A 12,277-nucleotide genomic window follows, 5' to 3' on the forward strand; every position below is an offset into this window, starting at 1 on the left:
GCGATCCAAAACAGAGACAACATACAGGCGTATGCACACACACACACTCACACACACGAATACACACAACATGCCTGGGCCACTCTTGACTTCCAGGTTGGCTGGGAGAGTGTGTGTGTGTAAGCGAGGCAGGGTAGGGAGTGGGTGAGTGGGAACCCTGACTGGGTGGTGTGATCTTTAGATGGCCATGAGTCAGGTGGGCTAGGGATACCCACATGTAAATATCTGAGAGAACTCAATATTCTCTCTCTCTCTCTCTTTTTACTTGTTTCCATTTCTCTGTGTCATTTTCTCTCTTCTTCTCTTGCTTCCCGCCCCCCCCCCGCCCCCATATCTCTCTAGGGAAAAACTTGGTATCTGTGCCAACTTTTTTCCCCCTCCCCTCCTCCCTCTCTCTTCTTCTTCCACTCTCCCAACTGCTGCCAGCCGGCATCAGCGCCGAATTGCCATCTCCTTGAGCTCTCTGTGGAGCAATCTCAGAGAGCAGTAAGGTGTGACGCGAGGCTCTGCCGGCTTCGCAGCACCGCCTGCGGAAAGAGCGCAGGATGGCGGAGGAAGATTAAGAGAAATCGCGAGCAGGGCTCGGCTGCCATTGGTGTGTGCAAACGCCGAGGAGGAAGGGAGAGGGAGAGTGAGAGTGAGGAAGGGGGGAGAGAAGGGGGAAAAACCAGCAGCTGTCGGCCTAATTCTTCTAACACTCTGCTTGTGGTCATATTAGAAAAACAGATTATGCCCCTCGGTGCCACTCACTTATACTTGACATACGTTAATGTTCTATATCTCCATTTTCCGGTTCTTGATGACGGTGGACTTGAGGTCGAGGAGGATGGGGGCCTGGGTGGCCAAGGGGCACAAAAAACCCTGTCCTCTCATTCTCTCCTGACCTTGAACCCCAGTCTGTACTCGCCCTTTAGAAAGCAAACCAGTTTACATCTGATGCCACCATTTGGCATTTTACAGCCCCTTATAAGATGCAGAGGTCAGAGGATACCTGGAGGACCTTACCCCTAAGTCACCCCTCCTTTGTAGTCTTAATAGGTCACTTTAGGACCAAGTGAGACCAGCTTTTGTGGCACTACCCCCCAACCTTTCTATGGGCTCTCTCCCTCAAATCAGAAGTTGAGGGTCAGAGAAGGGAGTCTATGATAGTGTGTGTCCCAAGAGGGGGTTACAGAGAAGCCATAAGCAAAACAAGGCCAGGATTGTTTCTGGGTTGCTATGGAAACCAGGTTCCCTCCTCCTGGCAGGAATGGAGGAGTGCCTAAGGCCTTCCTCCTACCACCAATCCTGAGGGTTGTAAAGGCGGAGTTTGCTAAGGCCTGGGGAAAGGGCTGGTCTTGGAGGACAAACCAACCATTCCCTATAGCTGGCCTGCTATTCAGAGGTCTTTGACCCCCACCTTTCCTACCCTCCCACCTCTATATTCAGTCAAAGGAGGCTTTTTCCTCTGGTACCTTGTCCTCTATAGAGACCTGTTGCTTAGCAACCACTAGTGCTTTCTTCTTAATAACTAACACGGACGGAGAGATAAAATATCTGTGTCTATATTCAGTTCCCCTCCCCTGTCTATTTATATTTAATAACTGAAACCCTGTCTTGGGTTCCCTTAGCACCTGCCTTAGAGAGCTCTTAGAGGGATTATCCGCAGCCTGAAGAAAGAAGGTTACAACTGAGGAAGAACTTCTGAACAGGGAAGAGTGGAAGAAAAGACTGCAGTACGTAGAGCATCAAGGGAAGCTGTGGAAATATATTTTCTTAAGTACAGGTAGAGAGGGGAAACAAAATATTTAGAACTTGGAATGCGGGAAGGGGATATCCACAGGGATTCTTAAGGGACAGCTCCAGGTCCTGGAGTGGACCCTAACAGCTGCTTCCAGGCTGGCATTTGCCACTCCCCACGCCCTTCCCTGCCCCTGCTTCCTGGCCACTTCCAGTCTATGTCCCTCTCATATTTCTTTTGTTTGTTTGTTTGCTTGTTTGTTTTGAGACAGTCTCGCTCTGTCGCCCAGGCTGGAGTGCAGTGGTGTAATCTCGGCTCACTGCAAGCTCTGCCTACTGGGTTCACGCCATTCTCCTGCCTCAGCCTCCTGAGTAGCTGGAACTATAGGCGCCCGCCACCACGCCCAGCTAATTTTTTAGTATTTTTAGTAGAGATGGGGTTTCACTATGTTAGCCAGGATGGTCTCGATCTCCTGACCTTGTGATCCGCCCACCTCAGCCTCCCAAAGTGCTGGGATTACAGGCGTGAGCCACCGCACCCAGCCTGTTTGTTTGTTTGTTTGTTTGTTTGTTTGTTTAAAAAAAACGGAGTTTCGCTCTTCTTGCCCAGGCTGGAGTACAATGGCATGATCCCAGCTCACTGCAACTTTTGCCTCCCAGGTTCAAGCGATTCTTCTGCCTCAGCCTCCCAAGTAGCTGGGATTACAGGCATGCACCACCACGCCCAGCTAATTTTTGTATTTTTAGTAGAGATGAGGTTTCATCATCTTGGTCAGGCTGGTCTCAAACTCCTGACCTCAGGTGATCCACCCGCCTCAGCCTCCCAAAATGCTGGGATTACAGGCGTGAGCCACCGTGCCCAGCTTCCCTCTCATATTTCTATCTGTAAGCAGCCTGTTGGATCTCCAGTTTCCTAGTGTCTGGATGTTGGTATCCAGGAGAGGGGGCTGTGCTGATGTGTGTCCCCCAAGGTCTGGGTACTTCCCCATTTTTCAGTCACTAGGAAGGAGTTCTTCTGAGCTCTCCACTAGAAAACCCCACACCTGACCTGGCAGTGGGGGCTGTACAATAACCAAAAAATGAGCAAGGAAGGTCTACAGTAGCCTAGGCCTGTATGTAGAGTCAGGAGACTTGGATTTAGTCACTTCTCCTTACTCTCCTGTGATCCCAGGTTATTATCCACTTGATCTTTTAAAGCCCTTGTTGCTTCATCTATAGGCCAGGAATAATAATAAAGTTTACCTTACTGGACTTTAGCAGGATCAGTTAAAGTAATATGTGAAAGAAAATATGCTGCAAACTGTCACATTTAACTAAAATATTTTAAGTTCTGGAAAAGGTCTGATTGCTAGGGAGAGGGAGGCATCATGAATCCAGCCCAGCCCTGGGCTTAGGAATGTCCCTTCCCACAGCTGTCACGGCCTCTGGTCTTCCATTAGTTTGTTGGCAAGAGGGGTATGACTCTGCTCTCTGGTCATTAGGGCAAGGAGCTATAAAAATCAAAATCAAACACCAAGCAGTCTAGGGAGAGTCGTGCAGTGTTGTCCCTATCATTTTTCTCACCTCAGACCCAACCTCTGGCCTCTAGTTTTCGGCTGCCAAGACAGCAGCCCTACCGACACCCCACCCTGACCCTCTGCCCCTTTCGGCAGTCAGCACCTTTGCTGCCATCGTGCTAACTCACAGACTGTACAGTTTCACCCGCCATACCCCCCTTCTCTGCACCTCTTCCAACCCGAGCCTTCTGTGGCAGACAGATGGGGTGTCTGCGATGGAAAAAGCTCTGGGCTCTACGCCGTCTTGGGTGGGCAGCCCCCCTCCCCAACTCCCCATTACTCCCTCTCCCCACCTAAGACACTCAGATTCACCCCAGGCAGCACTAGAAGGGGCTGAGAATTCCAACTCTCTTCTCTTCTCAGGCTCAGCTCCAGAAGCAGACCCAGAATGGCATCCTTCTCTGAGACCCAGACCCCAGCCCCTTTTCATGGAAGACCAGCACAAAGGAGGAAGTAGGTTAGGGAATGGTAAGGCTCCATGTGATGGGACTAATGTGGAGAGGCCTGGGGCCTTTCCCTGAGGACTGGATGGCTGGAGTTTGGGAGCCTGAGTTGACAGAGGAGGCTAAGCCCGGGCAGCTACTTTGTTCCAGAAATCTAAGGTCCCTGGAGGGAGGCTCTGCTTTGGGAGGGGGAAGGGAGCTAACATTGCAGAGCACCAACTGTGAACCAGGTACAATGGCAGAGCCTTTCCATACCTGTACTCACAACTAGCGGGTGAGGAGTCAAGGCAAATAGGTGTCTCATAGCTCCCCATATCTCGGCAGTCGACCACCTCCTCCTTTGATTCTCTGATGTCACTGCCAGTTCTCCTCCTATTGCTCTGACCTGTCTTTCTCTGTGTCCTTTGCAAACTCATTCTCAACTCCTTAGACTCAGTCAAGTCCCCCAGTTACACACTTCCATGGTACTATATATCATTCCTTCAGAGCACTTAACACAGTTATTTCCTATGTATTTGTCCAGTCATTTGAATAATGATCCTAGTTTCATTGGATGGAAAGTTCCACAAGGTCAGTGACCATTTCTATCTGTGTTCACCAATGTGTTCCCAGTGCCCAGAAACAATGCCTAGCATAAAGCAGCTGTTTTGTAAATACTTGTTCAATGAATGAATAAATGACAAAAGAACATCTCTCTGGCCTAAACTCCCTTCTTAGCCACTCCCTCACCCTGAGCTCACCCACCCCAATGTGTGGACCAGGGAACAAAGTACCTGGGAGGTCAGGCCACCTTGTTCTCCCTCATCAGGACAGGACCAGTCCTAGTTTCAGGGTATGGGGCCATTGCTGTGCCAGAGCCTGGTCCTGCCTGTCTGCTCTTCAGCCTTTCCAGGGACTGAGATAATTCAAAGTCTCAACAGTTTTTCCCCACATGGAGGCCTGAAATCATTCATGTGAGCTGGAAAGGGAGGGGAGTTCCATCAGAGGAAGGTGCTCTGAAGAAAATCCCTCTTTTTTGCCTTGCCGAGACTGCAGAGACCATCTGTTGCCACCCCTCTGTTTGCTTCTGTCCTCTTACCCTGGACTTCAGGGAAAGAGATGGTTAAACCAAGTAGGAGGGATAGGCAGTTTACCAGATGCAGGACAGGCTGCTTGATCCTGAAAATGTCTGGGGAGCTAGATGATGAGCTTCGGCCAGGTGATTGGAGCAGAGGAACACAGAATCCAGGAACAGCCAGTCCTTTGGGGCTGTACTCCCTAGACCCTGGGAAGCAGGGTATAGATAAAATGACCTTTATGAGGTGTCCAGCCTCCAGCCCAGGGCTTTATCTGACTCCTTTGCTGCCCTTACCATCTGACCTCAAACAATGTTCCCAAATCTGTTAAGAGTTAAAGTTAGCACAAACGTGGTAGCTCCTTGCTGTCTGTGGCTATTCCCCATTCTTAACCTTGAACAAGCACACAGACGTTTGCCCATCTCCCAGCCCAGAGCATCTCTTCATCCAGCTCAGTGCCAATACCCAGTGCTCACAGCAGCTTCTCAGCCCCCTTATCCTAACAGTGCCCGTCAGCACCCAGGTATCTAGGGTCCTGGATCTGGGAAGCCACTCTGGGCAGTGTTGCTCTCTCTGACCCCACCTGTTCTCTGGGCCCTAATGAAGCAGGACAACTCAAGGCTTCAGGCCAAGTCCTTGTGTCCTTATCAAAGGCAACATCTGTCCCCTCCAAGAGGATAACCCCTGGGGGGAGGAGGGTGAGACAGGCACAAGGGAGAAATCCTGATCTTGCCTGGGCCCTCACCCCAGATTCCACTGCAGGCATAGATTGGGGGTGAAAGCCAAGACAGTCACAGAAGCCCTCACACACACATGCCCCTGCATGGGCCTTCATGCCTCTGAGCCCCCACATATGAATGCCCCTCTTGGGCTCACCCAGCTACCTGGGCTGCTGCTGCTGCCAAGCGGCCTTCTTTTATTCATGCGTTGTTTTATTGCTGGCAAATGCTGCTGCTTGCTGCTGTTGGAGGCGTTCCTGCCAAATCCATCCCAACATCTTGGCCTGGCATCAGGGCGGCATGCTAATGTGGAAATTTAAAGAGCCGCTCGGCTTTAAATCGGAATTTTAAATGAGCAGCAGTGCTCCGAGGGGACCTGGGCAAAATCGAACAGTATCTGATCCACCCTTCCTCCTCCCACACCCACAGCATCACCCCAAGTTCCTCCCACCCCTCCCTTTGATTTGGACATTAGAGGAGGTATTGGCATGGGACATCCTAAGGGAAGAAAGAGGTACCAGGGCAGAGGAATTTGTTCAAGATGGGGGTCATCTGGACCAGTGAGGAGCTAGGATCACTCTGGACCAAGAATGGATCTACTCCTTGCTGTCATAGGCAAATGACCAAATACAGGATGTTCCACAAGGGAGAAGGGCTAGAGGTAATGAAACTGAAGTTACTCCCTCACTTCCCGTTTTACCAGGAAACAAGAAGAGAAGGCCTGCTCTGCAGAGAAGAGGGAAGGTGGAATTCCAAGAAGACACTCACACACAACATACTCTTGTTGCCAATGGGATGTGTGCACACAGCTGTGCATGCAGGCTGGGATGCTTGATGAGGTCCCTGCAGCACATATACACATAGCTCACACATCACCCCTGCATGGAGAGGAATTATCTGCACATGGAGGGCGGTCTTTCTTTCCCTATCCAGGACACTATTGTAACCCCAGAGCAAGCTGGCTTCTGCAAGTTGCTAGCCTGAACTGTGCCCCAGGTTTTTCCGTGGATCCTAATTTCCCAGATCCTGGCAGCTGCTTGAGTCAGCCATGGTGATGGATCTCTGCAGCTCTTCTGCCAGGACAGGGGCAGGGGGAACCTGAGGTCATCCTGTGCACCTGTCTTGGCCACAGTGTGGTGCCTTCTCTGGTGATCACCAAATGACAGGCTCAGACATCTCATCTGGGAGAGGTTTTGGAAACAGCCTTGGTTTCAAAGGAAAGAAGGGGCTAATGGGAAGCGAGAGAGGCAGAGTCTGTGCCTCCTTGTGATTCCCTCTCCTTACCTATCTCCAGGAGGTAGGTAGCCCCTCATTATCAGAAAACATTTTTTGAGTGCCTGCCCTCAGGGAGACACCATGCTTTACTTTAGCACAGTGCCTCACAATTTTCTGGATTGACAGCAGCCCTCAGAATCTGGATGTGCTGTCCCCATTGGAGGGTCCACAGTAACACACATGGTGACATCCACCTTACTCATGTTAGGCTACCAGGCCAAGGGATGCTCCAAGACCTTCCCTAGAATTCCTCCTCCCTCAAAGAAGGAGCCAGCTCCTTCAGGGGCTGGTGTGGCTGCCAGCCAAGAGGCTTGGGGCAGGCCTGGGGCATGCAGCTGATACCTGCCCACCAGATCTCCAAGGAACACCCTCCTCCCCCACTCCCACAGCCTCATTCAGATGGCCACTGGGCTACAAGGAGACAGTGCTCACTTCTCCCCACTCCCAGAAAAAACTTCAAAGCTGGACAGCCTCCCTTTCCATTGTAACCTGTTCCAAGATCCTCCACTTAGACTAGATACACTAACGACCCACCAAGCAATTTTGCTAGGCAGGACCAAATGTTTAATATAGTAGGGGTTGAGCTAGGCCTAGGTACGGAAACTTGAGGAGTGAGGCTTGGGCTGGAATTCTGGGAGAAGTTGTTGAGGTCAAGAGAGGTATGAGGAAGAACAACTTGATGTGAGTGAAATAGGACAGGGGGACATGAAGGGGAGGGCCTGAAAGAATCTGCCTCTCTCATCTAATTATCAACATGTAAATAATATGCAAATAACACACTCTTTGTCTAGAGACCACAAGGCCACTGCTTTTTGGAAGTGGATTACAGAGGGCCCACCAGACAGTATCTCTGAGATCCTCAGATATGGGACACCCAGGCTCAAGAGAGAGGCCAGAGTGCAGCCATCTGGTTCTTGCTTATTCCCTGGATTGGCTCACTTTCTGTGAGCCTCAGTTTCCCTATGTGTGAAATGGCAAGACTACTGGATGGTCTCTAAGGGTTTTTTCCAGTACCGACAGTCTGGGATTGTATGACCTGGGCCCAGTGCCAGGGCAGAGTGGAGGGTTTGATTCCATTCTGGGGTGGAAGCCAAGATCCTTGGCTCTCTTGCCCCTGCTGCCCACCTCAGCAGTTCTGTCATGCTGCCCCCGCAGCCCGCAACATACCTGCCATCCCAAACATGGGCAGTTTTCTGAAGGCAGTGTTTTCTTCCATCCATGCCTTTACCTACACTGTTTCTCTGCCTGGTATGCCCTTCCTGTTTCAGCCCCTCAGTTGGCTAAGTCCTCCAACTCCAACAGCCTTGCCTACCTTACTCCTCCACTCCCCAGTTCTGACAAGGTGCCTCCCTTCTGGGTGCCTCTATGCACTGTCTCTTTACTTCTCTCTTGTCCCACTAGACCATGAACTTTTGGTTTTGTTCCAGACTAAATCTCCATTATAAGTGTATTAGTTTCCCAAGGCTGCTGTAACAAATTAACCACAACTCTGGTGTCTTAAAACAACTGAAGTTTATTCTCTTACACTTCTGGAGATCAGAGGTTCAACATCCATTTTATTATACCAAAATCAAAGTGTTGGCAGGGGTATGCTCTTTCTGGAGGCTCTAGAGGAGAATCTGTTCCTTGTCTCTTTCAGCTTCTAGTGGCTACTAGCATTCCTTTGCTTGTGGCCCCATCACTGCAGTTTCTGCCTCTGTCTTCACATCACCTTCTACTCTTTGATATATGTATAATTTCTCTCTCTCTCTCTCTTTCATAAGGACACTTGTGTTGGCATTTAGGGCCCACCTGGATAATCCAGAATAATCTCCCCATCTCAAGATTCTTAATCACATCCTCAAAGATGAACCCATTTTCCAGTTAAGGTAACATTCACAGGTTCTGGGGATTAGAACATGGACATATCTTTAGAAGCTATCAGACTACCAAAATAAGCAAAGACATTTTAAAATTTACCATTTATTAAGTACCATATGCCAGACACCTACATACATTTTTCTCACCTCAATTAAGTTTTACAATAACCCTGAAATGTAGGTATTAATGCCTGTATTCTATAGACGAGGAAACTGAGGCTCAGGGAGATTGAGTCACGTGCCCAATGTCACGTAGCTGGTAAATGACAGAACTAGGATTTGAAACCAGATGAGCTGGGCTCCAAAGCCAACATGCTTTTTGCCTCACCAACAGCCTCTGAGCCTACTCCAGGCCCTGGCACAGGTTTCTTGCCTGAATGGATGCAGAAAAAGAAAGATAGGTAGACAAGAGAACAGACGATGAGGCCCAGCATTTTTAGTGATACTGCTTCTAGCTTTCTTTTGCCAAAGCCCCCTTACCACCCCTCTTATTCTCCCCCACCAACCCTGACCTCTTGTTTCAGAAGCCTGGAATACCCCCCAGCTTGCAGCCCCCTGCCAACTACTGCTGCCCAGAAGGGTGGCACAGTGCCTGGACTTCAGGCAGAATCTATCAAATCACAGAACCAGAGGGTGTCTGGAAGTCACCTCATCTAGTCCTCTGTTCACATCCAGCCCTGCTCACGAGGACAGGGGCAGACAGGTTCAGGGTAGTGGGCAGCAGAAGGATGAAGTGCCCATCTCCCTTCAGCTGCCCTTTCTCCTTTCTTACTTCTTACACAATTTATATTGGAAGTCCTCACTCAGATCTGACTTTGCAGACATCATGCATAATGAGAATTGGCCAGAATCAGGAGTCCTATGGTCATAGGACTGACCCAGTCCTAGATTCTCCAAAAAATAAAACGAGATTTTTGGCTAGGTCCTTTCACCTCTGTGGGCCTCTAATTCTTCATCTTTAAAATGGGATCGATAATAGGGGTAATAATAATACCCAACTCACAGGGCCTTTGGGATAATAACACAGCCCAGGAAAGAAGCATCCAACCCACGGCCTGGAGCAAGGCAGGTGCTGCAGGAATATTTTATAACACCCCCCGTCAGCCCTCCAGCCAAGCCCCTTTATCCTGGGTAACACAAGGCTCTGCTCACCTCAGCCATTCTGGTCTGCCTCGCGCGCTAGACTGTGAATTCCTCTTGGCAGGATCTTGTTCATTTCTAATCACCGCCCGTTCCCCTCCCTAGTGTCTAGCCTGTGCTCGGGTACGTAAGTTCAACACACATTTAATAAATACGGCCAGGCGCGGTGGCTCACGCCTGTAATGCTAGCACTTTGGGAGGCCGAGGCGGGCAGATCACTTGAGGTCAGGAGTTCAAAACCAGCCTGGCCAACATGGTGAAACCCCGTCTCTACTTAAAGTCCAAAAAAATTAACCGGGCGTGGTGGCGGGCGCCTGTAATCCCAGCTACTCGGGAGGCTGAGGCAGGAGAATCGCTTGAACCCGGGAGGCGGAGGTTGCAGCGAGCCGAGGTCGCGCCAATGCACTCCAGCTTACCCAATAGAGCGAGACGCCGTCTCAAAATAAAATAAAATAAAATAAAATAAATAAGTGAGCGAGTGTATGAGTCGGCCTCCCAAGTCCTGAGAGGCTCAGAGCTTGACCCCCACCAGCAACCTTTGCCCGCACGACCATTTCCCCTGGGGTCCTGGCGGCGACCGCAATGGAGGGGAAAGAGGCCACTGCAGCTTTAAGATTTCTCTCGGGCGTCCCGGTTGCCAAGGCGCGGTTGCCAGCGCCCTGCGCGGAGCTGCGTCCTGCTTTAGCGCGCGGCCTTCGGGTTTCCGCCATCGCCGCCGCCGCCGCCGCCGCCGCCGGGCCGCGCCGGGCTCCGCTCCTCCGAACCGTCTGGCGGACTTGGCACCGGCCCCCGCTCCTCAGTGCCCCCGCAGTGCGTGGCAGGCTGCGGCTTCATTATCCTGATTGATTCCTCCTGCTCCCCGACACCATGGGGGCCCCGGACAAGGAAGGGAGGCGGAGGCGGCATCTGCAGGCCCCTTCCCCGGCCCTCGCCCCCAGCCGCTCCTCAGGCCACCCTGCTGTGGCTGGCCAGGCAGGGCGGGGATGGAGGACCGGCCCCGCCTCTGCTCTCTTGGTGGGCGGGGAGGGGAGGGCCCCAAGGGAGAGCGGAGCAGTGTCCGGTCGGTGCTCTTCCAAGGTTCCAGCTCTGGGCCGCGTACACCCTGCCTCGGCCCGCCCTCAGCAAAGATTTTGCGCCTTCTGAACCGGGAGGATATGGAAAGGTTGGGGTGGGGAAAGAACACAGTGGAGGACTGAGAACTTCAGGAAAACAAGCCCTGGTAAAACGGGAAAGGTGACATCTCTGAGGAGCGTTGGTCACGTGTGTCAAGGCCTGGTGACGCGTGTCTTATGTGCCTCCCTGGGCATCTTCTCAGTACAGTTCTCAGTAGAAGCAGGGGCAGGGTCTGGACCCAACCAACACAGGACACCCCGCAAGGATCTAAGCTTAAAGGAAGGCCAGGAGTCTGTGTGAGGGAGAGGACCTTTTCCCCAGAATCCAGCATGGTGTGCCCACCCCACGCCCAAACCAAGTACTGACACCTTAAAAAGAGCATCTGGGCCGGGTGCGGTGGCTCCCGCCTGTAATCCCAACACTTTGGGAGGCCGAGGCGGGCGGATCATGAGGTCAGGAGTTCGAGACCAGTCTGGCCAACATGGTGAAACCCCGCCTCTACTAAAAATACAAAAAAAAAAAATAGCTGGGCGTGGTGGCGGGCGCCTGTAATCCCAGCTACTCTGGAGGCTGAGGCAGGAGAATCGTTTGAACCCGGGAGGCAGAGGTTGCAATGAGCCAAGATTGCACCATTGCATTCCAGCCTGGGCAACAAGAGCAAAACTCCGTCTCAAAAAAAAAAAAAAAAAAAAAAAAAAAAAAAAAAAAAAAAAAGAGCATCTGGGGCCAGAACTGAGATTGGAGCATCTACTTAGTTCCGCCACTTGGTTTGTAGCCTGGGCAAGTCGCTTTACCTTTCTTAGCCATGGCTTATCCATCTATACAATAGGGATAAGCCAGTTGCCAATGACTAAATGGGATAATATGTAATGTGTAGATGGCAGGACCTTAAGTCCTCTGGCAAAAAGAAGAAAGGGAGATAAGGGGCTGACCTCTATCCCTGCTGCTGTTTTGGGTGGATACCTTGAGGGAGGTGAGTCTTCTCCATATGCTTAAATCCCTGCTTAACTGGAAGATTACCTCAAACCTTCCAGCCAAAGCCGCCCCATTGTCACAGTAGAGGGGCAAAACTGCTCTTTACCTCATTGGCATTGCACGGATTCAATATCTAGGTTTACACCAGGCTCTCTACTACTGTCCTTCTCTCCTTGGGTCCTCTCTTCCCACAATCCCTGACAGTCTCCCTCTCGTGCCTTGCCCCTGTCCTGTCCAAGGGCCAGACCTGGGAAGTTTCTTCCATAGACTCCAACCTTTGATCCCTCTCAGCCCTGGGAAAGAGGGAACTGGTGGAGAATTTGAGGCCGTTTAATGTATACCTGTCATGCTTGTGAATGTGATCTGAGCCTCTCTGGCAACTTCAGTGTCTATCTCAGGGCCTGTTTCCTCTTCTGTAAATTC

The 12,277-nt window shown here is 51.1% G+C and overlaps 1 protein-coding gene and 1 long non-coding RNA gene across 47 annotated transcripts in view, besides 2 other annotated features; one reads left to right on the top strand and one right to left on the bottom strand.

Moving 5' to 3' along the window:
* CDK12 (cyclin dependent kinase 12) overlaps nucleotides 1-4,410 on the top strand; it is a 106,074-nt gene extending 101,664 nt beyond the window's left edge. For 24 of the 46 annotated variants that reach the window (XM_047436256.1, XM_011524897.3, XM_011524895.3 and 21 more), the window contains 2 exons: nucleotides 1,611-1,765; nucleotides 3,639-4,410. The gene's annotated coding sequence lies outside the window, so the exon portion shown is untranslated. The remainder of the gene's footprint in view (nucleotides 1-1,610; nucleotides 1,766-3,638) is intronic. The other 22 variants (XM_047436261.1, XM_047436260.1, XM_047436255.1 and 19 more) reach the window with 1 other exon arrangement.
* Nucleotides 8,261-9,981, bottom strand: LOC105371770 (uncharacterized). Its single transcript, XR_934745.3, has 2 exons — nucleotides 9,779-9,981; nucleotides 8,261-8,999 (listed from the first exon to the last, which is right to left on the bottom strand). It is a non-coding gene; the product is annotated as an uncharacterized LOC105371770 (long non-coding RNA).
* Nucleotides 10,472-10,741: a silencer, noted in NCBI's record as "silent region_8457". NCBI's record gives its function as "represses an Ori minimal core promoter by ATAC-STARR-seq in GM12878 lymphoblastoid cells {active_cell/tissue: GM12878}" and the evidence as "EXISTENCE:reporter gene assay evidence [ECO:0000049][PMID:35858748]".
* Nucleotides 11,407-11,981: an enhancer, noted in NCBI's record as "H3K4me1 hESC enhancer chr17:37730809-37731383 (GRCh37/hg19 assembly coordinates)". NCBI's record gives its function as "activates a minimal SCP1, AML or CMV promoter by ChIP-STARR-seq in primed H9 embryonic stem cells {active_cell/tissue: H9 hESC(primed)}" and the evidence as "EXISTENCE:reporter gene assay evidence [ECO:0000049][PMID:30033119]".

This window comes from Homo sapiens, chromosome 17, assembly GCF_000001405.40.
Source record: "Homo sapiens chromosome 17, GRCh38.p14 Primary Assembly".
Classification (NCBI taxonomy): Eukaryota; Metazoa; Chordata; class Mammalia; order Primates; family Hominidae; genus Homo; species Homo sapiens.